Source organism: Homo sapiens, chromosome 8 (genome assembly GCF_000001405.40).
Source record: "Homo sapiens chromosome 8, GRCh38.p14 Primary Assembly".
Taxonomy (NCBI): Eukaryota; Metazoa; Chordata; class Mammalia; order Primates; family Hominidae; genus Homo; species Homo sapiens.
In genome coordinates this window covers 141,712,720-141,739,301 of record NC_000008.11, presented here as the reverse complement: position 1 = coordinate 141,739,301, position 26,582 = coordinate 141,712,720, and the positions used below count along the sequence as shown (strand labels likewise).

Sequence of the window (26,582 nt, the reverse complement as noted above, 5' to 3'; positions counted from 1 at the left end):
CCCTATGTGTGTAAAACACCTCACAATATTCATTCCTGCCACGACTGCAGCTGCTGTCACCACTAGATCGCTGAGTACTCCCTAAGTCCCCAGCACAGGTGCAGCTCACTCACCACGAGGATCTCGTGGGGACCCGCAGCCACCCCGCACCCACGCGCATGGGGCCTGAGCCTCAGAGACGGGTTAGAGAATCACACAGCAGGCGGGAGCAGGGCTGGGCTGCAGGGCAGTTCACACCTAGACGGTGAGGCTTGCCATCCACTCACTCAGTAACCACCCACTACATACACACAGCCTGCCCGCCCTGGGTCACCCTACCCACTGCCGTGCCCACCAACAGCAGGTCATTCTGGATGGGCCCCAGGCTGAGACCAGGAGAGGCCAGCCTGGGAGACCTGGAGTACAGGACACGAACGCTGTTAATTCTTCACCCAACAAGAGTCCCGAGGACCCCCTTCCCCGCCACCTGCCGAGTTCCATCTCAGCCTGTGATTGACTCACAATTTCTAGACTGCCCTGTCAGGGGCCTGCCTCAGAAGGAGAAGCACACAGCTTCCCTTGTGTCTGTGTTCAGGCCCGCACAGTTTCCAGACCCCGCCCTTCAGCCATAAACACCCACTCTGCACACCCAACCCTGCCCAGGGAGGATGAAGTCTCGGTGAAACCCCTGTTCATAGCGGGATTATCTGGGAGCACGGCCTGCATCGGAGAGGCCAGGAGACTGGAGAGAGAGGGAGCTCTGCTGTGGGCTGGGGCGGCCTGGGGGCAGGAGCAGGGAAAGTCACAGCGGGGTGGGCATGGTGAAGTGTTTACCAGCCCTGGGCAGAGGGAGAAAGCACCTGGCTGTGGGCACGGCTCATTCCGTGGCTCCTGGTGAGGGCTGCCCCCAGCAGCCGGTGCCCGTCCTGCTCCAATCACCAGCACAGCTTGGCTTTGGCAGCTCCACAGCCGGCAGCCCCACTCTTCTCCCAGCTCCTGTCTGCCCATAGCAGTGTCACCTTCCAGGTGGCGCCAGAATGAGGACAGCCCAGCACAGCAGTTCCGCGTCTCCCACCCCCGGGTCGGCTCCTGGGTCCGCGGCACAGGCGGACAGCCCAGCGCAGCAGTTCCGTCTCCCCCCGGGGCTCCTGGGTCCGCGGCACAGGCGGACAGCCCAGCGCAGCAGTTCCATCTCCCCCCGGGGCTCCTGGGTCCTCGGCACAGGCGGACAGCCCAGCGCAGCAGTTCCGCGTCTTCCGCCCCTCGCTGGGCTCCTGGGTCCGCGGCACAGGTGTCAGCCTTATTGATTTCTACGACCCTGGTGCTCACCCCACGTGGGACTCATCAGGGTTGACTGGATGCAGGCAGTGAATGCTCTGAGCCACACCTGCCTTGTCCTTCTACATGAGCCTCAAAACAGTTACTGGGATCTTTGTCCCCGTGGACAGAAACAGTCAGGGAAGAGCTGGAGGGATTTGCCTGGGGTCGCAGGGCCAGCTAGGGGAGAGCCTGCACTCGAAGCCACCTCACAACCTCAGCTCCCGGGAGACATGCAGGACCACAGGTGCCACACAGAGAAAGAAGGCAGGTGCCTGCCCAGGGACACTCAGCAACACATGGGAAGAGTGTTCTCACTCAGAATAAGCCAATGCCCAGGCAGAGAGGGAGGCCACTCCAGGGGAAAATTGTCTGGGCTGGAGGCAGGCCAGTGTCTGAACTCCGTGGGACCAACAGGGGTCAGGCACCATGGTCGCAGGCCCCATGACCAGGTGGCGCTGACCACCAGATCCAACCCCCGTGATAACATGTCACTCTCCTGGTACCTCAATGTGGGAGAGAGATGCTCTCCCCTGGGAGGAGGCAAGTCCGGCCCTTTCCTGTCCCACCCCCAGGCCAGGGAGAGTGCAGGAATGAAAGGCAGCGGCGAGACTGGCAAAATGAGGGCTGGACAGGGGGAAATGGTGCCTCCGGGGCTGTGATTCCCGGCGCTGCTGGCCACATCATGCCATTTTTCCAGGACCTGTCAGCTTAGGGAGGCAGGGTGCATGCTGCTTCAGCCAGCATGGGGTCAGGCTGGTCCCCCAGAACCAAGCATCCTGCCTCACCCTGCACTCTTACCACCTGTCCCTGGCCAAGTCCAGGCAGGGAGCAGGTGGACTCAGGGCTCAGCCAGGGCGTAGCCTGACCGGAGAGAGAGGGGAGAGGGAGCACCGTCTGCGAGGCGAGGCCTGTGTCTGCAGGCCACCTGCCACTCGGCAGGACCGCCATCCTGCTCACCCTTGACTCAGGATCCTGACCTGCAGAGCGGTGATGGGAGCCCTGACTTCACAGGGGATTCCTGGAGCAACACAGGACAGCACTCGGGACTGTGATGTAGAAACGGGCCCACCAGGTGACGGTGAGGGCAGGCAGGGGCGGGAATGAAGGCCCAGAGAGTCGGCCAGGCCACCCCTGGAGAGACCTGCCTCAGGCGCCATTTTTCCCAGGGGTGTGGCTGACCTGTGAACCCAGTCGGGATCCACGTGGCATGCCCTGATTCTGGAGGGTTCCCAAGGTGGATGCGTGGATTCCCTTTCTTGGTGCAGCCCTGGGGCCTGGTGCTGGGCAATTCAAGTTGCCTGTGCACTGAATGGGGTCAGCTCCAGGGCTGCTGGGTGGCAGTGGCATGAGGAGGGTGAGGAGTGTCAGGAGGTTGACCAGAAGGATGTGGCGGCCCTGGCTCAGGGGGCGTTGGCAGCACAGCTGGGGGTGTTTCGGTCTGGGCCATGGTGACGCCGGAGCTGGCCATGGTGATGGAGTTGCCGAAGGTGACGGTGGGAAGCGGAATGTGAGAAGGACGAGTGTTTCGGGGCCCCAGCCCTCGGGGGTCCTTCCCGGTCCTGTCTGCCTGCAGAACTTGTCAAGGTCTGGGGAGCCGCTCCAGGTCCAGTGTGGCATCTGGATCCAGATCACCACAAATAGGACCAACAGGGCAGGGGTATGTTCATCCCCACTCTATCCCACGGCACCGCGTGGATCTGAAGATAAACACTGTTAAAAATAGGGATGAGTCAGGAATCTTCTTCCCTCTAGCAGAGTCTCCCGGACAGATGGCGGAACCTCTCTGATGGATTAGAGGCTGTGCCGCCCCTCCCGGCTCCTCGTGGCCCAGTGAGACTCATCTTCTCTCGGCATTATTTTTTAAAGATTATTTTTAGCATTCTTGGAAAGATCTGACTTCAAACAAGAAACCAGAGCGGCCTCCACTTTGCTCATTCTGTCTGTCCTGGACCCGCACCATCCAGCAGGGCGGCCACCAGCCGTGGGTGGCCATTTAAACGTAAGTGTAAGTAACAGAGACAACGTTCGCATTCCGTTCCTCCTGGCTGAAAGTGCACAGGCGCACACGTGGCCGGCAGCTGCTGTGTCGGACGGCACAGCCGTGGAAGGCTCACGTCCTTGTGGAATTGCCCCTGGACGGCCTGCTGTGGACATCCCACTCAGCCACAGGGACCCAGCCTCTGCCTCCAAGGCCTAGAGGGGCCCTGGCAGGTTTGTCTGAGTCATCCCTCCAAGAACCATGTCTCAGTTCTTCGGGGGCGGTCAGGAGGAGCATGGCATCTGGCCTATTCCCATCAGGTGCGCGGGAAGCCCTTGGGCATTCCCCAGTTTCTGCCAATCTCGCCAGGCCCGTCGCTGGGTGTCTCAGAGCCTTCCTTTCTGCCAGGTCACCCTAACAAAGATTCACCTTTCACCATGGCAGGGTGGCCAGCAGTGGCAGGACTCAGCAAGCACACCCGCCCGTTGCACAAGGGATTTCAGTGTGTTAAACCCCAAAGAGGCTCTAAGAGGAGTCATTTCAGGCACCGACAGGAAATAAGGAAACGTTTCCGGTGAGCCTTTTAACCCACCTTCTGATCAAGTCATCTGTGCTTTGAGTAAAATGCTAGACCGGCTGCTCATGTATTCTCACCCTGGGTATTTCCCAGCGGCAGCTGTGCCCCAGGCTCTGCATCGGATGCCGGGATACACAAAGCGACACCAGGCGTGGCCCCCAAAGCCCAAGTACACAGTCCGGAGCTGGCTGAGGGGCGCAGCCTCCCAACCCCCTCTTCTACGAGCGAGAACAGGAAGGCTGTAGAAAGAATGATTAGATGAGAGGAGCTGACACACAACAGAGGGGCTGTCTCAGTCACCAAGGGGAGGGGTCCCGGGCCCTGTCTCTGGAGGTGGGAGTAGGGCTAGGTCAGGAAGCCCATCTGTCAAGGCTGTGGGGTGCTGAGCCCCTACCGCGCCCCAAGGCGTCCCTGCTAATGTGTGCCATGAATCACCCGCTACTCACAGATCCCAGTAACACACTTGGACTGAGCAAGCTCCACTATGTACTGGGCCTGGAGATAAGAAGGCAGCTCAGATGCACCCACAGACGGCTCACTGACCAGCCCAGAGGAGGGGCGGCAGCTCTCCTGAGTGCCTGGCAGCTGCTGTAAGTCTCATGGGCTACAGCCAAGGTGTGGGCCAAGGCTGTGGTCGTCTCAAGGCTCCACTGGGGAGGCTCTGTCCAGGCTCACCCACACGGCTGCTGACAGGATTCAGCTCCCCGTGGACTCTCAGACTGAGGCTTCACCCCTCTCTGGCTGCTGGCCAGAGGCTGCCCCTCCGTGGAGCAGCCAACTGCCTGGTGGCCACTTTGTCATAGCAAGTAATCCAAGGACAAGGAAGGGAAAGGCAGAGTCCTGGGGATTTGGAACCTAACCTGGGGAACATCCCTTCACTCTGGCTGTTTTCTGCTGGTGAGAAGCCAGTCACTGGGTCCAGTCCATCCTCAGGAGAGGATCACACAAGGACGTTAATGCCAGGAGTGGGGATCACCAGGACCATGCCAGGAGTGCCTACTATAGATATTGTCTGTCCTCATTCTACACATGGGGAAACTGAGGCCCAGAGATGGCGAGTGATCCACCCACAGTTGCACAGCTGGATACTGCAGATCTGGGATAGGAACCCCATCCAGGACTGTTTATCACCTCCAGATACCCATGAGGCCCCGTGGCAGCTTGAGCTGTCACTCTCGGAACACAGATCCACAGCTTAAAATGAGAAGCAATGTCTCCTGGTGCACACGCGGCCCAGGCAAAATGTAAGAGATTTCATAAATATGTAAATCACCTGGTCCGTCCCCAAGGAGGGAAGCACAGGCGCTTCTCCTCCTGCCTCGCCTCACGTCCCATCCACTTCACAAATGCTCTAAGAGGATCAGAGACAGGCTTTTTAAATGAAGTGAGAGTTGGACAAGGAACATAATCTCCCTGGGGTGGGTGGCCGCCCCGCCTCATTATTAGCCTTTCTGGTGCTGCGCCCATGGCATGGGAGCTCTGGGCCCCCAGGGGATGGGATGCACTTCAGTTCTGCATTCCCGGCAAGGCTGGGAAGGGTCCCAGAAGGCTTGGAAGGCATTGGCCCAGCCTTCAGAGTTGACAGATGAGGAAACTGAGGCCCGGGTGGTGCTATGACTTATGAAGAATAGAAGGCAGCTTGCTGCAGAGTGAGGCCTGGCGTCTATGTCTTTTGGCTCTGATCTTCCTTGCCATTATGTTAAAACAGAGATCCCCTAGCTCAGCTGAAATGCACCTGTCTCTAGAAGGCCCCAACTCATGCAGTGCTTTTCTACCTGTCATCTTGGTTCATCTTGCCGCCTTCACGTTGTCCAGGTGAAATAGGAAGATCGTCTCTACGTGACCAGTGCAGACATGGAGCCAGCATGGCTGGGCTGATGTGGGCCCTGCACTCAGGCCTCGAGGCTTTTTACACAGTCAAAAGTGAGAATTGGCCTGGAAATGAAGGCAGCGTTCTCTGGGTGGAAGCCAGGGCCCTCCATTCTGTCCCCAAATCATTTTCACTGCCCCATTTCCCACCTGGAGCCCCTCCACAAACTCCCACCCAAGCATGCTGGTCTGCCCTGACCCCACTATCTGCTCCGACCTCCCAAAGAGCCTGTACCTGTGCTCTTCTCAGCCCTGGGAGCTCTGTCCCTCCTGTCCGATACACCAGTGTCCTTGTGGTTCTACCCAGCACCAGTCCTTCTGCTCCAGCAGCCCAGCCACCCAGCCTGCCCCTTCCACCTTGCCACCCCCTTGGCCCTTCTGCAACCGGCACAGCAGCCGACCTCTGTGCGAACCCTCCCATCTTGCCTCGTGTTCACCGACTGAGAGCTCAAAGGGGACGGGAGAGTAAAAGTCGGTGCCAGGCGCTCCCTGGGGCTTCCCACCAGCCGATGGATTTCCACTCACAGCCGTGGCTTGCGGTCTCCCTCTTGCCCAGGGTACACAGCGTTTCTGAGGGTGGGTGCTGGACGTGCAGTGGAACGCTTGCTCAAGGAGAATGGAACACACAGCCCCGAGACTCAGCCTCGGGAAGCCTCACAGCCCTGGATGCCCAGAAGCAGCATCCTCCGGCAGCCCCCAGTGGCAGCCACAATGAAGAGTGGGGACAGCGGTACCAGGAATGCACCAGGTTCAGGGTCACACAGACCAAGTCTCAGACCCTCAATCTCCCCCTCCCATTCATGCTCTTATTCCTTGTTCAATAAGACTCATCTCAAGCCTGTAATCCCAGCACTTTGGGAGGCCGAGGCGGGTGGATCACGAGGTCAGGAGATCGAGACCATCCTGGCTAACATGGTGAAACCCTGTCTCTACTAAAAGTACAAAAAAATTAGCCGGGCGTGGTGGCGGGTGCCGGTAGTCCCAGCTACTCTGGAGGCTGAGGCAAGAGAATGGCGTGAACCTGGGAGGCGGAGCTAGCAGTGAGCCGAGATCGCGCCACTGCACTCCAGCCTGGGCGACAGAGCGAGACTCCATCTCAAAAAAAAAAAAAAAAAGAAAAAAAAAAACTCACCGAGGACCTACACCTGCTGTGGGCTGCTGGGAAGTTGGAGGTGAACAAAACAGATACAATCTCCACCCATCTGGAGCCTGCAGTCTGTGGGAGAGGCGCTGATCCTATAAAGAAGTGTGTAAACACATAAGGCACATTTCAGCAGCCGCATGGCAGACGGGGCAGGGAGCCCAGAAGGACAATGGGGGAGTCCAGGCTACAGGGGCGGGGCAGGCCCCTCCGAGGACGGGGCACGTCCGCAGAGAGCTGAGACAGCAGAGTCAGCCGGGGCGGCAGCAGAGGGAGTGCATCCACACACAGACAGGGACAAGGCTGAGGTGGACATGTCACCAAGAGGAAGGGCCACCAGACAAGCCCCGAGGCCCTGCAGGCCACGGAAGGCGCTTCTGAGGAGTAATTTGACCTGAAGGAAGTAAGGACCCCTCTCCAAGTCCCGCTTTTCTCACCTACAAAATGGAAAGTCTGGACTGAGGTTGGATGCCACCACGTGCACGAGGCACCTGGCTGGGCAACTTTATCCTATGTGGGGGACACCCATCCCCTCTGCACCAGGCCCAAGCTCAGGAAGCTAGATTTGCCTCCTTGAGCCCTGGCAAGCTCTGGGCTGCCATGAGCCCTCTGGTGAGCCCCATCACGGATCTGAGTGTCTCCTCTCCCACCGACTGGCATGGAGCAGCTGCCACAGAATCTCACCCAGTCCAATAACATGCACGGGACCCAAAGCACTTTCCACAGCAATGCAGTGAAGATGTGGGTTTCCATGTGGGGCTGTGTGTCCCAGCAGGGGTGGAGGCCCAGGAGCAGGACCAGGCTGGGAGCCCATGGCTGACATAGGGACCCCCCACACAGCAAGTGGGTCTGAGCCCCACTTCTGGGGATGGACAGTACAACCGGGGCCAGCCAGGGGCCATGGGGTGTGGGTGGACAAACCTGAGCCTCCCTTTTCTGGTCCTGCAGATCAGGCAATAATACCCACCCTGCAATATTGCTGTGAGAATTAAATGAGAAAATATATGCAGAGAAATTGCAGCTGTGTAATAGTAGGTGCTGAGCTAATAGCAGCAAAAGTGAGATTCTATTTGCCTTGGAGTCCTGGCTGGAAGTTGATCCCCTTGCCCTGGCCTTGCCTGGATTCTGTGCAGAGCAGGGGCTCCGGGCCTGAATCCCAGGGAGCACAGAGCCAGCATCCTCCTCCCTAGGCCCATTCAAAGCTCCTTGCCTCTCATTGGTTCTCACTGAGTCACATGCCCATCTCTCGACCAATCCCTGTGGCCATAGGAATGTGACTCTGTGATTGGCTGCAGCCTGGGTCACCTGTTCCAGGGCAAGTTTAATTCCTCCCAAATCACAGGGCTGAGAGTGGGGGAGGGAAACAGAGCAGGTGGAAGCCAGAGGAACGCTGTCCACGCATGGCCAGGGGCTCATGGGGAGGATGCCAGCCTCCACTGGGCCCAGCCTCCCCTGCACACCCTCCTCTGACTCCTCCATACACACCCTGCCCACCCCCGGGGTGAAAGGAATGCATCCTGAGTCAGGCTTACTTCACTTAGCACACAATTCGCTTGACTTAATCACTCCACAGTGTATTAAAAAAATCGCGACATCACTTTGTACCCCATCAATATACAATAGTAGAATTCATCAAAATATAATGCTTAAAAGAGATGGGGGCTGAGGGGACACCGGAAAAAGAGCCAGGAGTCTCCCAGCTCCAGCCTGGTGTGTTTGCACAGGGAAAGGGAGGCCAGAAAGGAAAAGGAACCAGCTCAAGGTCACACAGTGAGTTCAGACCAGAAAGCAGAGCTGGATTCTCTCCCTGGGCCCTGGGACAGCAGGAAACCTCCGAGCCCAGCCGCGCTCCCTGGCTGCAGGCTTCAGGCAGCAGGAGAGACTGCGGCCCCAAGCCTGGATGCCTCTGAAGGCTGAAATCTGCTCACACCGCGACCCTTTGGAGTGAAGGTTTGGGAAGCTGGCAGTGCAGGTGGGAGGCGACTGTGTGAGTCATTCCCCAAGGAAACACAGAGCACAGAGCTGGAGGAGGAGAGGAAGGAGGAGGAGGAGGGGGAGGAAGAAGAACAGAGGATGAGGAAAGGAGAGGCAGGGGACCGAACCTGGAGATCCGCAACATGGCAGCCTTCAGGCCCCACCCTGTGACATCGCAGAGGCGCAGAGAGGACAGAGGGGGCTGCCTCAAGGTCACGCCTAGAAGTCCCCCATCTTCAAGGGCTGCAGCTGGTGGGTCTGGGCAGGCAAAGGAGAATGATGTCTGTCTTTGCTTCCAGGGGGATAAAGATGTGGGAACCAGGAGAGGGATGGAAATGGACGGGGTGGGCAAGGCAGGAGCTGGGGAGGGCACCCCATGGGCAGGGGCTCTGGAGAGCAAGGTCCCGATGCAGGCACTGGGGTGTGTGCCTGGAGAGCCCACAGCGCTTAGGGTGATCATGCCCCTCTTCCAGATAGAGAAGCTGAGGTTTCTTGAGACTTGGTTGTTTGCTGGGCTGTGAAGATGCCCCAAATTAGATTAACCTCTCTGGTCTCCCTCAAGTGACTCCAGAAATTCACTTGGATCTTCCCAAGCTGGGAAGACACAGTGTGCGTTTGTGTTGGGGTGTGGGGATCTACCCATTTCTCTGGACAGGACAGCGTTGGCGGGGTGTCAAGCAGGGCTGAGCACCCAGCTCCAAAGGCCACCTGGGGTGCTAAAGGGAGGACCCCCGAGGACCAGTCCATCACCATTGAAATCCAGGCTTGGCAGAATCACTTGCAAAACAGAGCATATGTCCCAAAAGAGCAGAAACTGACTACCTGAAAATACCAGGGCCCTGCTGCACTAGGAAGGTACAGGCAGGATGGATGGGCCTGGGGTCAGGGTGGAGTGGGGATACTGCAGCTGAGAGGCCTTGTGACACCCGGCAGAGCTTGGGGATATGAGATAGGACGAGTGGGGGCTCTGCCCCGCATCGGCCCCTCCTTACCTCCCTGCAAAGCTTCTGGGAATGGGCGCAGCCCCAGGACAGTTGGGGGAGGGGAAGCTGAGGCCATGTAGCCTCATCCAGGGAAGTGAGACAGGTGCTGGGGAACTGCCCACACTCTCTCCTTCTCCAGGAAGGCAGAGCATCTCTGGATCCATTCCCCCTCCCTCAGTGCCCTCTCCCCTTGCCTGGCTGAGCCTTCTTATGGGCAAAGGAACCAGCCTCGCCCCTGGCCTCCCTGCCTCCACTCTGGGGCTCCCAAGGGAGCCCTCAGAAGCACAGATTTGGAGAGCTCACAGTTCCTGAGCTCACACCGCATGCCAGACTCTCTCACTTCTGGCCAGGGGTTATTAGACCTGGTTGCTGATGAGGATGCAGGGCCCGGTGACTTCCCCTCAAGTCACATGGCTTGGGAGGGCAGAGCAGGGACGAGTCCCTGGAGGCAGCTCCAGATCCAGTACTGTTACCACGTGCTGGGTAGGTAGAGAGCCCTCTTCGTTGAGCCCTGCAGGCCAGCCACCCCAGGTCCCACTGCTGCAGCCCCTGACCAATTCTCCCTGACGTGACGCAGACCTTCCAGGGACCCAGCTCCATCTTCCCATCCCCCGTTCTCCCAAGCCCACTCACCCTGCTCATGGACCCTGTTCTCCAGCCTTTGCCTGAGCCACTTCCTCCCTCTCCATGCTGCCTCCTCCATTTCACAATTCTGGGATGAAGACCCCGCCCAAATGCCAGCTCACTCAGGCAGGCAGTGAGTATTAATGAGCACCTAGTATCTGCCAGAAGCTGTCACTCCTCAGGGGGCAGGGCAGTAAAGAAAGAAGAGAAGTAGAGCGAGCCGCTCGGCAGTCAGCGAGGCTGGGCTGAGTGAGCAAGAGCAGGCACCTTGCAGGCGGGGAGAGGGGCTGGGGCTGCGGCCGGCCAGGCCATGGGCGATGACATGTGGAGTGCCCCGCTCAGTTTATGTTTTCAAAAAAGGAGCCTGGCCATCACTGGTGAAGGGACTGGAGGGGCAGAGAGTTGGGGGAGGGAGCCAAGGCAGCCAGGGGATTGCTGTCATCCCTGGGGAGGGTCCATGGTGGCCAGGCCCCGGGTAGCAGCAGCTGGGAGGCAGAGAAGTGGGCACCATCGAGAGACATTCAGAATAAAATCGGCAGGACTTGGTGGTGGCTGGAAGGAATGGGAAGCCAGGAGAAGGTGCCAGGAAGGGCTGTCCCAGTTTCTGGCCTGAGTGAACTCTGAGGTGGGGAGGACCTGGGCCAGGAGCAAGAGCACTGTGACTGCCCCTGTGCTCATGAGAAGGGGGAAAAGACTTCCCCGAGCCAGCGCCTCTCGGACTCCCGGGCTGGAAGAAGCCCGCTCTGTGGTTCAGGCCCTGAAGCCTGGCTCTCACGTGGCAGTCACCGCTCATCGCCTTAGCTTCCGGGCAGCGACTCCGCAGTGGGCTGCTGCCATATCCCACCAGCAGGGCACCGATTTGGGCTTGCGGGACAGTCTTGTTCACCACAAGTGTCTTCCACTGGACTGGAGGCCTGAAGCCAAGTCCAGCCCCTCCCGCCTGTGTTCTCCGGGGCCATTCCCCGGCTTCCCAGGCTGAGGGCCAGGCCACTGGCACCGAGCAGGAGTAGCCCCGCCGGCCCCTTTCTGCTGCTGACAGCTGGGCCTGTGCATCACCCTTCACCCCTGTGAGCTCCGGGGCGCAGCTCACCCCCCACTCTCCAGGGCCAATTAGGAAACCAGGCAGATGCGGACTTCAAAGGCACTTTGAAAACTCCACATTAGTATAAAGCTATGAATCAGTTTATGTTTCAGATTAAATGCCTTGGGCTTGTCAGCATCCTGGAGATGTGAACTTAACACAAAACCTCTTTATAGCCAGGAGGGCTGAGTTCAGAGGGGCCAAGCATCTTCTCCAAGGTCAAACAAAAGTGGAAAGCAGGGCTGGAACCAGACCCCAGTCTCCCAGGCCGGTGGCCGGGTACCTTCAGCATCACCCAGAAATACATGCAGATTCCTCCCCAGGATCGACTCGCTGAGCGCCACGGCCGAGCTTGGAAACCCACCCAGCTCTCCTTCTGCAGCCTGGGTAATTAGGCACAAGAAGCACAAATACTTTGTTCAGATGCTGGGAAGTGGAAATTTTCTAGTCTGTTAGGCAAATTCTCCTTTTCTCCTTTTACATTTTTTTTTACCCCAACAGGAAAAGACTTTTCACTTGGAATCCTTCCGATGCAGATGTGTGAAGACTCTGGTAGCGACATCTCGGGGACTGAGCATCTTCTATTGATTGGAAAAACACACACAGCACCAGTGAGTTTGCAGAGCACACGCCGCATTTTTCAGGGTTTGGGCAGGCGGAAAGCCAGCCGCGGGGCCTCAGCGCCCCCTGGGAGCCATAGCCGGTAGTGCTCCCTGACGGAGCAGAAGGAGCCCAGCGGGCGGCTGGGAGGGAGGGAAGCCGGGCACCCTCAGAGGCAGGCAGCCCTGCGGGAGGCTCGAAGAAGAGCCACGCACGCCCAGCCCTGCCAGTGCATCCCTGTGTGGCTTTGGGCAAATCACATCACCTCCCTGGTCTCCAGCTTCCCCACTGTAAACTTGGGGTACAGCCTGTGTGCACCCCACGGCCTTTGGAATGGGCTGTGTGACCTCCTGCAAGCCACGAACCTCTCGGTGCGTCACGTTCTTGGCAGGGACAGCTGCCCACCCGCGGAGCGGCTGGTAGAGCTGCAGCAAAAAATGAGCAGCCAACTGCCACGCACAGGTCTCTTTGAATTTGATCGATGGACACAGCCCAGCCTCGGGGGCCCCTCTGGGTTCGACCAGCAGGCAGGAAAGACACAGGAACAAGGACCAAAGACGACCTGGAGTCTAAGCACCAAGGACAGACGGGTGTCCCTGGCAGGAGCCTGAGCTGCGGGAACCAGGGGCCTCGGCTGTGAGTCCCTGCCCTTCTTCCTCTGGGGGATCCCCTCTGCTGCCCAGGACAGCTTGCCAGCCACCTGCTCCAGAAGCCTCCTGGCCCCATTGTGAGCCCTTCATCAGGCCGAGTGGAGGACCGTCACCGTGGGTAGGGAGAGGAGCAGCCGGAGCCCAGGTGTGCAGAGCCCAAGGCCAGAGCTCCTCATCCACCACTGTGGCTGGCGGGAGGGGGCCCTGAGATTGGCCCATCCCCAGGAAGACAAGAGGATTGGGGTGCGGACAGGGCTGGGGAGGTATGAGAGTTCCAAGAGGGTGGTTTGCAGAGGGGAGGTAGGAGAGAAAGACCAGGGCATGTGGCAGGAGAGACACAGCCATCCCTGAGGGAGGGGCGGTTCCCTGCTGTCTGATGCCCAGGGCCCCTCCGCCACCCAGCTTCCCTGCCTGTCCCTCCGCATCCTGCCCTGTGTGGAGTCACCATGCCCAGGAATGCAGAGTTAGGTGCAGCCAGGGGACAATGCACTTGGGGTCAGTGTCCGGCAGCAGGGGTCAGCGTCCGGCAGCAGGGGCTTCCTTGACCCGACACAGCCCATGGCTTTGGGCACGCCAGCTCCTCTTAAGGTACAGCCTTTGGAACTGTGAGGCGGCACCTGGTGATGTGTTGAATGTGGCAACAGCAGTGGTAGCCGGGGCTTTCTGGGCTCTGCCAAAGTCAGGGATCACCACCTGTCACTCCTCCGGCCTCCGCATGGGGTCCCCGAGCCCACCCCCTGCTTCATCCCTGGTTTTCCTGTGAGGAAACCAGGCACACAGAGGCCAAGCCGCAGAGCAGCTGCAGAGGGAGGGAGGTGGGCGGGACTCGCTGACTGTACATCAGGCTCTGCCAAGCTCATGAAACACTGGCTGTTACCGTGGCCAGTGTTGTCCTTCCTCTGCCTGGCCTGCAGGGAGCTTGCAAGACTCCAGTAGCCAGAGTCCTTTCGACCCCCTGAAATGGCCACACAAGCAACGGCAAGGCCTGGCTGCATACAGCACCTGGGATACAGTGGCTGGGCCCAGCAGAGTGAGTCCAGGCCAGGACCCACCAGGTGAGGGGCACCCAGGGGTCCTGTGAATGACATCTCCAAGGAAGGCAGGAAACAGCTGAGTCAGGAACCAGTAGAGGTGTGAGGTCCTGGCAGGCAGAGCCCAGCAGGAAGAGCTGGTTCCAGCAGCCCTGAAGGATCCCTGGAGGGTCCAGAAAGGGGAAGGTCCCTAGGAGGAGGCAGAGACTCCCGAGGGAGCAGGAGCCCCCAGGCCTGGGCTGCTGGATGGAGTGAGCAAGGTGGCTTGGAGGCTGGCAAGGGGCAGGCGGTGGTCCCAGGCTAGCAGGAGAGCACAGGAAGGGGTGGGTGGCGGGAACCTCGTGCCGTCCACAGATGGGGCTGTTGCTGCCTGGGAGAAGGGACAGGAGGAGTGAAACCCACAGGATGCTGTAAGGCACCAGGGCCATCTAGAGCAAACGGGCCGACCACTGGCCTGGCTGGGGCACATCTGGAAGGAACAGCTGTGTCCTAAAGGCTCAAAGGAAGCAGCCTGATGGTGGGGGCACTGGAGATGCCCGAGGGGGTTCAGCTTCAAGCCTGATCTGGGGAGGGAATTGTTCATGTCAGATTCCCCAGGGAGTGGCTGCCTACAGGGTGCGGCTTACAGCATGGGGCCCTGAGAGTGGCTGCCTGCGGGGTGGGGCTCACAGCATGGGGCCACGAGAGTGGCTGCCGGTGGCGGAGGAGCTTACAGCACGGAGCCCCGAGATGAACAGAGGTACCATTGATGATCAGTGGGTGCAAAGGAGCAGGGTGACAGGGAGGATCCCGTACCGGGATCCCAGTCCACTTCCGTCCTTAAGACATCCCGGGTCTCAGTCTCACCTATGAACTGGGTATACAAAGCATATGACCCCACGGCACCACTGGGTCCCCACAACAACCCTGCGGATTGGGTTGGGAAAATGATCCCATGTTACAGATTAGGAAACTGAGGCAGAGGCCTAGTTGCCTCTGATACTTTAGTGCACATGAGGTGCCCAGTCCTCACCCCAGCCTGCACTTTCTTGTGCTTGGAACTCGCATGGGTTCCCATCCCGGGAAGGGAGACCACGGGGGCCTGAGCACATTCTCCCATGTGTCAGGGACAGGGCCAGTGACTGGGCAGCAGCGGGGCCTAGCCCCATAGAGAGCCCAGCTGAGGACAGGGAAAGCTGGCCTGACCTTCGATGGGCCACAAGGGCCGTGAGCTCTCTTTCCACCCCGCTGTGCTCCTGCTGCTCTCTGCAGACGGGAAGCTCGAGCTCAGGCCTCTGCTTCGGAAAAGCCCAAGAAAGAACCCAAAGCAACAAATCGTCTCCTAAACAAGAGGCTGCCTGCCGGCGCCGGGGGCGGGCAGTGGGAGGGTGGGCTGTGCGTAAACCTGCCCCGGCGCCTGCAGTTACAGTGATTCAGGCCCCGAAAGGGCCGGTTTATTAAAAATCATCCCTCTGCGTTCCAGCATGAGTTAGGGAGTGCGTCTCTCGCGGAGAACGAATGGGGCTTTTAGAAGTCAATGTAAGCAACTCTGCCCTCTGCCTCCTCGCGCAGCGGGTGGACGCTGCTACCCAGGACGCTGTGTGGGCCCGGACTGGGTTGGGGATGGGAGCCTCACTTTTACCAAAGCCAAGATCCATCGAGATTTCTAGCAGAGCCACAACCCTGGAGCCACGACTAAGGCCAAGGATTCCCACAGTCCTACATGGCAGAGCGGGGAAGGCCCCTTGGACTGGAGTCTGGGTGCCCCACTACACAGATGGGAGCATAGATGCTCCTGCCCACTCCCAGGACATGGACAAGGCCCACCCCACCCCTCCACCATGGGGAGTCCCAAGTCCCCGGCCTCCGTTCCCTCTCGCTGCACACTCCGAACCCCCACCCTCTGGGCCTGCAGCTCACTCCTTCTTCCCCTTTGTCCTCCCTTTCCCCGGGACCATCCCCAGCATGACCCCTGGCCTGCTTCTCTCTGGTGTCTAGAGCGAGCCTCACGCCCTGGGCAGGGTGGTGGGCGGAGCGCACGTGCGGAAGGCTCCCACGGGAATCACCCCACTCCATGGCTGCCCCTGGCTACCAAGACCCTGCTTGGGGCTGCCTGGGGCATAGGGCGCTTGGCTGGAGCCCAGCATGAATCCGGGCCAGAGAACAAGGAGCTCTGGGCATGCAGAGCGCATGCAGCCTGGCTGTCCGTGGAGGTCACGTGGAAGGCACTGCTTCTGGCAAAGAGGAAGAGGAGGGAGGAAGGCTGTGCCTCAGGGCCTGGAGCACCACAGCCACTTCCTGTGCAGTGTCCAGTGCAAAAAAAAAACCAACTCAGTAAGAAGATGCTCGAGTCCCCACCGTCCCTCTGGGGCTGAATCCACCTGCCCATGGAACAGACCCTGAAGGGAGAAAAGCCCTGAGCTCTTAGGTCAGGCAGGAGCAGCCCTGCCGTGGATGAAGGTGACACTGTGGCACCCTGCGCTGGACCTGAGGAGGGGCCGAGACGGGAGAGGTGGGGGATGGGAGCGGAGGAAACTCAGACACAGCGAGATGAAGGAACGTGCCCAAGGCCACACAGCTTCTTGCAAATCTGCCTCCACGGCCTCTGCTCCCTGGCTGGGCAACTAAGGTGCCTGCATCCGGCCCTGACCCTGCTTTAGGAGTCCAGAGTCCAGGCACTGGATTGAACCTGACCTCAGAGATGGGGATGGGGGTGATTGGACCCCTCGCAGGCCACGTCCTCTCCCTGCCAAGCAGCCCCCAGCTGCCCCAAGGTTGTTGCGAGACCACCCGTAGCCATCCCCGGGCTTGGCGAAGGGCACGCTAGACAAATGCAGCGGCCTTGTCTTCGCCATCTTGACTGCGCCATCCCCAGGGACTCACTGCCTGGCCCGCAGACACAGCCCTTCCTCCAACAAGATGATTCTGTTTACTCAAAGATACCTTTGTGAACATCTGATGCCTAATTTATGAGGTGAGCAGGCGGGCAGCAGCGTGCCCTCCCCCATCCCTCTCCTTATTAAACTGTTCGTGATCCAATAAGTCACGGTAAGACACTCCGTTCCAGAGAGCCCTCACTCCCTCCCTTGCTGACATTTGGAGGGAGCCAGAAGTGTCCAGGCTGGCCCTTGGCACAACAGGGGCTCCTGGAATGTCAGAAGGGCTTGGGCGCAGTTAATCCATGCTGCCTGCCCCTTCCTCTGCCGGTAGGGAGACTGAGGCCCAGAGGGAGCCTCACAAACAAGTGAGGTGTCCAAGCCACAGGGTCACAGTGACGCTCACCTGCGTGGGATGTGCACACACACTCACACCGGCCACACACTTCAGCACCATGCAGAGATGCTGAGGATCCCGGGCCAGCCCCTGGGTACAGCAGAAAGTCAGAGGACTGGTGTTTTTCTCCTTTTCAGTACAAGGCTGTGAGCACCCAGGCCTCAAGCCCCAGATCATTCTCAGTCAGCCCAGCCACCCTCAGAAGCTGCTTCAGGGCTGAGCGTTTGGCCACAAGATGCTGTCACCTCAGGCTGTGGTCAGGCTGCCTTTACTGGGCCACCATCTGTGGCTCTGGGAGGCCCAGCTAGCTGCTCCCAAATCCCAGAACTTCTTAACCTTCAGGTACCCTTTGTGAAGTGGTTTGACCCCAAGAGAGTTGAGAGGCTTGGCCCCCCAGGGTGCTCTGTCCCTCTGTCCTGCAAGGCACCCTGCCGCAGAGAATCTGCCACATCCCTGGGGGACAGAGCACCCAGGGGAGCCGAGCCTCTCCAAGTCCCCACACCTGGGTTTGGTGGCTCTTCTCATCGTTCAGAGTCCCCAGAAGGCGAGGGGAGTCCCCCCAGCGATACAGAGATCCCGAGCCCCTGCAGAGCTGCTGACCTTCTTCAGGGGACCCTGTTCCCTGGAGACCGAAAGGAGGGTGGCAGTGAGAGAGGGGTCTCCATGACAACATCTTGGAGAGTTAAGAAGGCTTCCTCACCATCCTAGCCAATGAAAGCGCCATTCCCAGGGCCCCTACTGTGCACCATGGCCTGGTCTAAGGGTGCTCAGGACAGACAGGGTGGGAGATGAGGGATCCACTCTCCCCTGGAAAGGGCTCCCGTCTGCAAAACATTACACAGGCTTCACCCAAAGCAGGCCTGGCCGTGGGCCCCCACACAGTAGGCGGTCGGTGGACACTTGCTGAACGGATGAGGAGGGAACAGGAGCACATTAACACCCGTCGACAGAGCACCTTTCATCTCACAGTGGGCTGTGCTGATGGCTGGTTCTGGCTTGAAGATGGGGGGCTGCTCTGGGGGCTGCTGAGTGTGTGGACACAGCTGGGGGGAGGAGAATGTGCCCTGAGCCATGGCCACAGGCTCCAAGGCCTCCGAGCTAACAGCTTGAGGAAGGGCGGGGGGATGGGGTCAAAACCCAGTTTGCATCTCCTGGGCATGGAGTCGGCTTCCTGAGAGGATGGGGGGTGACACAGAGTGGGGTCCTTGCTTAGAGGCCGGGGGCCTCCGGGTGCTGACGGCAAAGCAACTGCATAACTCAGACCAACCCTGCCCCAGGCATAAGCCCCTCCCAGGTGTTTAAGGATTAGACATTGGGAAAGAGAGGCCAGGGCCGGAGGAGGGGATGGGGATGGGGCACAGCCCCCTCAGGACCTCCAGGAATGGGTTTGCCAGTGGACCAGCACCCAGAGGACAGGCAATGGTGGGTGGGGACCTCGTTGCCTGGGGGGCAGTCTGGTGTACACAGCAGTCATCCACAGTGATTTTTCCCCAGGCACCTGCTCCTGCCAGGGCCTCGGGCCAGTGCTCTCCCCCACTTCCTATGGGGTCACCACCGAGAGGAGATTCGGCAACCCCAGAGCCCTTCCCCCATGCCTCTGAGCCAGCGGCCGTTGCAGGCACGAGCACCACGCAGGGCACAGCCACATTTCACAGCCATGCCACTCGCCAGGGAGGCCCACTTCCGCCCTAACGACAGAGAGGGAGCGGAGGGACAGGAGGATAAATCCCTGCCTGCTCTGCGAGGGGCACTTAAATCCTCTCTGAGAATGGCCCCGCTCTGCTGGGCTTAAGGAGACAGATCTGGGCTCAGCGTGATGGAGGACAGGGAGCGGGAGGATTCCAGTGGGGCGCGGAGGGGGGTCAGCCCCAGGAGGCCTCTAGGAGAAGGCACATTCTTCGAGGGCCAAGAGAGGAAACCGAGCAGCAACAAGAACGAAACAGGGACCTCTGGAGCCAGTGTTCCAGGTCTGGGGACCCCAGAATTCCTGGTGAAGCTGTGTCCGCTCTCGGATGCCACAGTCCCAGGCACAGGACAGCCACGGGCTTCCAGGGCCCTCAGCGTGGACCCATTTCTCTGCTGGAGGACCTGGCCTTGGAAGGCCTTTGAAGAGATACAGAGGGAGTGAGCGCCATGGGTGGCCCAGCCCATCACCAGCCCCAGGCAGGAGTGCAGTGGACCAACATCTGCTGGAGGAGCTGGCCTTGGAGGGCCTTTGAAGAGATACAGAGGGAGCGAGCACCATGGGTGGCCTGGCCTGTCACCAGCCCCAGGCAGGAGTACAGCCCTGTTATGGTGTGTTCCCAGGTGACAGACTCTGGATCATGTCCTCAGGCACCGTGGAAACAGCTTCCACAGCCCCAAGAGAGTGCTGTGGCCAGGCCTGAGCCAGACCACACAGCTCTCCTTCCTTCAAGGACTAGATCCTGGGGCTTTGGGTGCCCTGGAATCAGCCACTCTCACTGCAAAGTTCCCCTGTGTGTCCCAGGGCTGGGCCCCCTAAATAACACCAGCCCTGGGTCACAGCCATGGTGCTTGTTATCTGCAGGGCGCCTTCAGCCAAGTGCCCTCCCATCCTTCCCACCCTCTAGCGCAGTCTTTCTATCTGCCTCTCTAGACAAAGGGTCAGGAACCGTCTCAGGGGTAATGCATAGGGTTGATGGAGCATCAGGAGATTGTCCTGCCCTGGGTCACACGGCTAGAAGGTAGCAGGGTCGAGGGCCTTCCCTGGCTCTCAGGTCCTAGAACCAGAAGGAAGGAAGAGAAGCAGCATCTGTTCAGCTACTCAGAGTGAAACTGCAGGGCTGATGGGTGGGTCAGGAGCTGCCGCATGCTGCGGAGAGTCCAGGCTGGGAGAGTTTCAGGGATCATTCCCCAGCTTCCTCCTGCAGAGGGGTCCCAGATCCAGGTGTGGAAGGGGAGCCCGGGACAGTGTCCGACCATGAGGAGGGCTGCTGGGAACCAGCCCAAGCTCCTCTCCACCACTCTTCCACAAAAATGTCTACAAATGGTGATCGTTCTCTTAATTCTCAGCTCCTCTGACAGCGCCAGCATGCTGCCTCCACTGGACCTGACCCCCATGGTGACACCATGCCCACCCTCACTGCCTCTGGCCCCAGGCCCTGCTGTGTACCCGCAGCTCACTCTGTCCCCACGGCCAAGCCGGGCAACTCAGAGCCCCACCTTCCCCAGTTGTGAGGTGGGGGTGAAAGTCATCCCTGCCAGGAGACTGGAGGCTAGAATGGGCTTGGGTACAAGAACCCTCCAAGCAGGACCTGGCGTCAGGAATAATTCCTGCCCTCACTCTCCCCTCCCAGTTCCCATCACAAACCAGATACAAACTACAAACTAAGCCGGCCCTCAGCATCCAGAGCCTTCTTCAAGCTGACGGAAGAGCCAGAGAGGACTCACCCAGACCCCCACAGCCCAGGAGGACCCCCTGCTCTGCCAGAGCATCTTGGGTGGGGTCCCAGGAGTCCCTGTGCATAAGCACCTCCCACTGCAGAACAGAGGAGCGGGTTTCTTGGTTTCTTGGACAGGAGTCCTGGGCTAGGCCTGAGGCAGGATGTGGGTGGAGTCAGCACCTGGCTTTAGGCACTGCACCTGCTTTAACCCTCAGCACCTCAACTTGAGGCAGGTATATTCCAACCCCACACCGCAGAGGGGAGTGCTGAGGCCCAGAGAGGATGGGAGCAGCTCACACACAGCTTGGGGGCCCCACCGTCAGGATCTGAACCTCATTGTGTTTCCCAACTACTGAATCCAAATGAACCCGCCCACCCCACTCGGGGAACCTGTCCAGCCTCTCCATACACAAGTTGGTTCTCCTCTCTGCCGTCTGTCTCCAGCACACTGGAAGGCACTACAGGCAGGGCAGGAGGAGCCTGGCAGGCATCTGCTGGAGGAGCAGACCGGCATGTGGACACAGTGTCCCTGCCATGGCTGGCTTCTCTGGGAGGAAGGCTGGGGCCCAGCACACTGGGAAGAGCTGGGCCCCCTGGAAGCTTGGCTGCAGGGAGGAAGGCTCTGTGCTCACCTAGAAATTGCCCCTTGTTCAGGCCCAGGCCTGCAAACTCGCCCATGCCTGCCCATGGGCTGGTTCTGGATCCTCTCCTGGAGGAGGGGTCAAGAGGGCGGGTGTGCTTGGGACGGGCAGGCCAGGCCACTCGCCCATTCATTTATTGACAGACTTTGTGTGAGCCCCTGTTTTGTGTCATCAGAGTATGGTTCTGGGGACCCAGTAGAGACCGAGGCAGACACTGCCCCTGCCCACCTGAAGGTTGGCCAGTGGAGGTAGAGTGTCAGGTGGTCGTTAATGCCCCATGGAGGGGGCGTGCCAGGAGCTGGGCAAAGGGCACAGGATGCAGCCAGCACACTATGTCTGCAAAGCCCCTGCTCCACCCACAGAGATTTGTGTGGTTTCAATACCTGTCTTTCCCCCAAGTCCCACAATGGCTGAGCCTGTGTCCACTCTTGCTCCCCATGGTAACCCTTCCTCACACACTAGCACACTAACACAGCCCCGGGCACAGCCACAGCCAGCAAGATTTGCTCCCTGGCTAAGAATGAAAGGGGAGACCCCAGCCCCATGTCTGGGTGGGGGCACAGGGCCGAGTACGGGCAGCCCAGGAGGAATTCTCAGTGTTGTGGGTGGAGCTGCGTGGTCCTCAGGGCTGGGCTGGGGAGAAGGAGGTTGAACACCAGCCATGGGTGTGGGTTGGGGCTGGGGTACGAGGTGAGGTTTCTGCAAGGCTCAATATAGGCAGGAGATGTGATGAGGAGCCCCAGAAAGGTGAGGCAGGAGGGAAACTGTGAAGGATTTTCAGCCGAGGTGTGAGAAATGTGGAACCGTGAGCTATGAAGGGGCCACTAGAGAACAGGTGCTCAGCACACTCACCCCCTATGCACAGGCACAGCCTGCACCTTCCCATGTGGCCAAGGCAGGAGAGGTGGCCTCCAGGCTCAGGGCTCAAAGAGAATACAGGCACTTGGGCCAGGAGGGAGAGGTGGGCCTCCCAGGGGAGCTGTTCCAGGGAGGGGAAGGTCTAGAGAAGGGAGCCGTGGTGGGGCTGGAGCATTCAGGAGGAGGGCAGCTGCAGGGGCCTGTGGACCTGGAGCTGGTGAGGCACCAGGAGGGTGTCAGCAGGGGCGGGACTTGGGCAGGCTTGGTTTTGGACTTGATGGAACAGAGACACCAGCAGGCAGGTTGATAACAGGCCCAGCCAGCAGAGGGAAGTGACAGCAAGGGGAGTGCCAATCTCCAGGGTGAGGAAGCAGGGCTGGAATGCCAGCACCTCTCCTCCTCCCACCAGTGGCCTGTCCTGTCCACATGGAACAAACTCCACATGGGCCCTCGGTGGCTCAGGTTCCAGAGCAGGGCCAATCCAACGTGCAGAGGACAGGGGTTTCAGGAGCTCCCAGCAGCCAGGCTGGCTTTGGCTCAGTTCCAGGGGAAGGTCTCCGGTGAGATGCTCACAGCAATGACAGCCGGTCACAGCAGCAGGGGGCTAGGCTGGCACAGGGCCCTGGAGGCCCCTTAGAGCTGCTGGGTGGCAGGGAGATCCAGACACTTCAGGGAAAGGCAGCTGAGAAGGCAGAGGTGAGAGGAGCTGACCTAGGCCTCCAGACAGCAGGAACGCGGCCCCCTGCAGGGGTAGGGTCCAGGGGCTGCAGCCACATGCACCACCAGCAACTGCATTTGGTTTTAATAAAATGCTGCAAGCTCGGTTGGCAAGCCACTGTGAGCCAGGAATGTCCACACACTTCTCAGAGGCCGAGACCTCTTGAGGTAAAGGTCCTGTCATTCTCTTTTTCCAGAGAAAGAAGTGGAAGCTCAGAGCGGATCCATCACTTGCCCCAGCTGGCAGAGCTCCAGTGACAGAGCTGCAGGATCAGCTGCTCTTGTGGGCACTGTCCTTCCCCTAACCCGGCTGCCTCCTCTGGGGTCCCCATGCCTTCCTCTTCAGACACAGACCCTGTCTTTCCCCTAACCAGGCTGTCCCTCACCCCGTGGGCCCCAGGCCTTCCTCCTCAGACACAGACTCTGTCCATCCCCACATCGCCTCCGACCGCCTGAGTCTGGGGGACCAGGGTGAGACCGTCCAGCACCATGGACAGTGGTGAGACCGTCCAGCACCATGGACAGTAGTCCTGGTACTGCCCCAGCAGTAGGAAGGAGGAGGATCCTCAGCAAGGATCGCCCATAGGCAGGGCCAGGTCCCAAGTTCTCCAAGGTTCCCAGAGGCTGTTTCTATGGAGCACTGAGCTGAGGTCTCATTTTCAAAGAACGCTGGTGCTGCTCCCCAGGGCGCCACAAAGACCAGGCGACATTTGGGGGCAGGCAGAGGCATGGAAGAAGCAAGGCGTTGAGAGACACAATCAGGGTCTCATTACCATTTTGATTGCAGCAGCTCCCCCAGCGCCCTGGCCCGGACACGCGAACACACACTCAATCCAGAGGCGAAGACTGAGCCAGGGTGAGGAGAGAAAAAAAGGAGCAAAACAGACTGATTTTAATAATGCTAAAAATAACCGTGTCAATACTCCCTCTGTCTGGGGAGCCACGGATCATTTTCTAAGGCACCTTCCTGTCTTCCTTCTCCATGGCTGGTAGCAAGAACCCTGGAGTGGATTCAGGCCACCCCCCCCCTCCGCCCCAGCTTCCAGACCAAGCTCTTCTGAGCCACTCATGGGATCTTGCGTGAAGGACTTCACCCAGCGGGATCTCAGTGCCCCTCTCTGCACAAAGGAGGTGGCAATGCTAGCTCTGTGTACCTCTGAGAGACACAGAAAGAGCTGGAGTCCTTGGAGGGTGAGTCTGTCATTTAACAGATGAGCAAATTGAGGCATGAAGATGGGGGCGAGGGGGCCACTCAAGATGGAGAGGGATCTGGTGCATCTGCACCCTGGGAAAGCCAGGGTGATGTCCCCCATGAAGGAAACAGCTGCTCATACAGCTCACACAGACCCTCCCAGCAGCCCCACAGGAGGCCAAATGTGGATCAGGCAACCCAGTGTTAGAGATGAGGAAGTCAAGGCCCAGAGGGAGTTCTGGCCTGGCCCAGGTCAGCAGGGCTCAACCCCAGCCTCTCGACTCCCACAAAGACCTTCTCCAAACAGGCAGTGCCAGTGGACCCTTGAGGCAGCAGTGCCTGCCCAATACAACATGCATGACTGAGGTCTGGATCCAAGAGGGTCACATCCCTTCCCCACCCAGCTGTCTCTCTCAGCACTATCCCTGGATGGTCTGGACATTGTCCTCTTCTGTCTGGCGCCTGTTTTATCACAAGTGCTGGTGTGGCTCTGCCCTCTATGAAGCCAGATGGCCACCCTCCATAGCCAGACCGCTTGCTGGGATCTAGCTGGCCTTGCCTGTGACCAGCCCCACCACTAACCACTCTCCCAGCAGCTCCTCCAACCTCCCTGAAGCACGAGGACACCAGCACTTCCTGGACACTTGCCATGGCCCCTGCATAAGCCTATCACCACCAACCAGACACAGAAGCCCAGGCCCAGAGAGGGTTTGCCCAGCCCCTGGGCAGGAGGCATGGGAAACTGCATTTTGAGACCTGGCAGGACACTCACAGTCCTCCTGGGGTTGCAACACATTGACTTTCAGATTCCCACACTTCCCCTGGGCCCTCCACCCTCTGAACTACTAGCTCCTTCCCCAACGCCCCTGTGCATCTCTGCACCATCTTCCTTCTACCTCCTATAATGTTTTCCCCTTCCTCTTTCTGCCAATTTCTTATTCCATCCTCAAGTTCCAGCTAAATGTCACCTCTTCTGTGAGGTCTTCCCGGATAGCCCCTGGCAGAGCTGGCTTCTCTCCCCTGTGAGAGCCTACCCAGTTACCCAGATCTCCACCATGACCACTGCTGACTGTGTCATAATGGGCAGCCAGGCGCTCTTATCTAACAGTCGGTAGACACTCCTCTCAGTCATTCAATGTCTGTGTTACCTTGGAGAAATTATTCAACCTCTCCATGTCTCAGTATCTTCAGCTAAAATGTGGCTTTTGGTAGACCTGTTCAAGCCTTGCAGAAGACTTAGAATACTACCTGGCAGATGTCGTGTGCTCAAAAAATGTTAATTACTACTGCTGTCAGCAACATCACCACCACCATCACCACCATCACCACCATCACCACCATCACCATCACCATCATCATCACCATCACCATCATCACTACCATCACCATCATCATCACCATCACCATCATCACCACCATCACCATTGTCATCATCACCACCATCATAAACACCATCATCATCTCCTCCCCCACCACTGTCACCATCACCACTACCGTCATCACCACATCATCATCACCATCACTATCACCACCACCACCATCACCATCATCACCATCACCATCACCATCACCACCACCATCATCACCACCACCACCATCACCATCATCATCATCACCATCACCATCACCACCACCACCATCATCACCACCACCACCACCATCATCACCACCATCACCATCACCACCACCACCATCACCACCATCACCATCACCACCATCACCACCACCACCACCACCATCATCACCATCACCATCACCACCATCACCACCACCATCAGTAGCAGCATCTCCCTTACTTGACTTTCCAGCTCCTCGCATGTAAGGAATATGCACAAGTCATCTTTGTCTCTCTAGACTGGTGCCCTGGCACATAGTAGATGCTTCTAACCTTGTTAGATGATAAGGTGGACAGGCAGGTGGGCATGTGGATAAATGAATACATGAAGGGGCAGGTAGACGGTTGAATGAGTGGCTGAAAGGATGGGTGGGTGTGTGGGTAAAGAGGGACGGGACGGATGAATGAGTCAGTGAATGAGTGAGTGCACCGCTATAAGAAGCGCAGATGGGTGGCTGAGTTGGTCCCTCCCACACCCAGGCTTCAGATGCTGAGCCGCTTAGTAACAGCAGACATCACAGTGTCCCCATGGAGCCATGATATTAAAATCCCTGAAGCCTGCGTTGTCAATATCCGGGGGAGATTATCTCTGGAGCCATCAGCAGCAGGAGTGGGCCTCCCACTTCCCGGGCCCTCAGTTCTGCTGGGGCAGATGACACCTCCCTTTCTGAGCTTCTGCAGAGGGACCAAGCCATGCCTCCAGAGTCCTGCGGGTTCCAGCTCACTGGGCTGGGCAGCTCCTTCCTGCTTCAGACCCTAGGGGAAATCTAGGGGCGTGTCGGGACCGGGGCAGTCAGCACCCTGGCTGACATGGTCCCCACCCACCCACACCCAGGCCTTCCATCCTCCCTCTGAAAAGCTCTGCAGCATGGGTTTTCCTCTGTCCCCGCCATCGCTCCCGTCCAGCCTCTTGCCAGCCTCCAGGTACCTCTGTCCCCACTCCTCACGGCTCTGCTGCTGGGGGAGCCCAGAGCTCCCATCCCCTACTGAAAAAACCACATGTGAAGTGAAGTGGGCAGATGGCAGCCCAGCTCTTTGGTCCCCCACCCAACCCCCAGGGCCACCACAGGGCTTGCTTCTGCACTTGGGTCCTACT

General features: G+C 59.0%; 1 long non-coding RNA gene across 2 annotated transcripts, besides 3 other annotated features; it reads left to right on the top strand.

Moving 5' to 3' along the window:
* Nucleotides 3,166-4,365: an enhancer, noted in NCBI's record as "CDK7 strongly-dependent group 2 enhancer chr8:142745139-142746338 (GRCh37/hg19 assembly coordinates)". NCBI's record gives its function as "activates an origin of replication core promoter dependent on BRD2, BRD4, P300/CBP, MED14 and CDK7 cofactors, with strong dependence on CDK7, by STARR-seq in HCT116 cells {active_cell/tissue: HCT116}" and the evidence as "EXISTENCE:reporter gene assay evidence [ECO:0000049][PMID:35650434]".
* Nucleotides 8,299-8,799: an enhancer, noted in NCBI's record as "H3K4me1 hESC enhancer chr8:142740701-142741201 (GRCh37/hg19 assembly coordinates)". NCBI's record gives its function as "activates a minimal SCP1, AML or CMV promoter by ChIP-STARR-seq in naive H9 embryonic stem cells {active_cell/tissue: H9 hESC(naive)}" and the evidence as "EXISTENCE:reporter gene assay evidence [ECO:0000049][PMID:30033119]".
* LOC124902074 (uncharacterized) lies at nucleotides 8,630-16,825 on the top strand. 2 transcript variants are annotated; one of them, XR_007061193.1, is made up of 2 exons: nucleotides 8,630-9,090; nucleotides 12,028-16,825. It is a non-coding gene; the product is annotated as an uncharacterized LOC124902074 (long non-coding RNA). The 2 variants fall into 2 exon arrangements; XR_007061192.1 differs by lacking the exon at nucleotides 8,630-9,090 and adding an exon at nucleotides 11,122-11,913.
* Nucleotides 23,083-23,283: a silencer, noted in NCBI's record as "peak7195 fragment used in MPRA reporter construct". NCBI's record gives its function as "represses an SCP1 promoter by STARR-seq MPRAs in K562 erythroleukemia cells {active_cell/tissue: K562}" and the evidence as "EXISTENCE:reporter gene assay evidence [ECO:0000049][PMID:32103011]".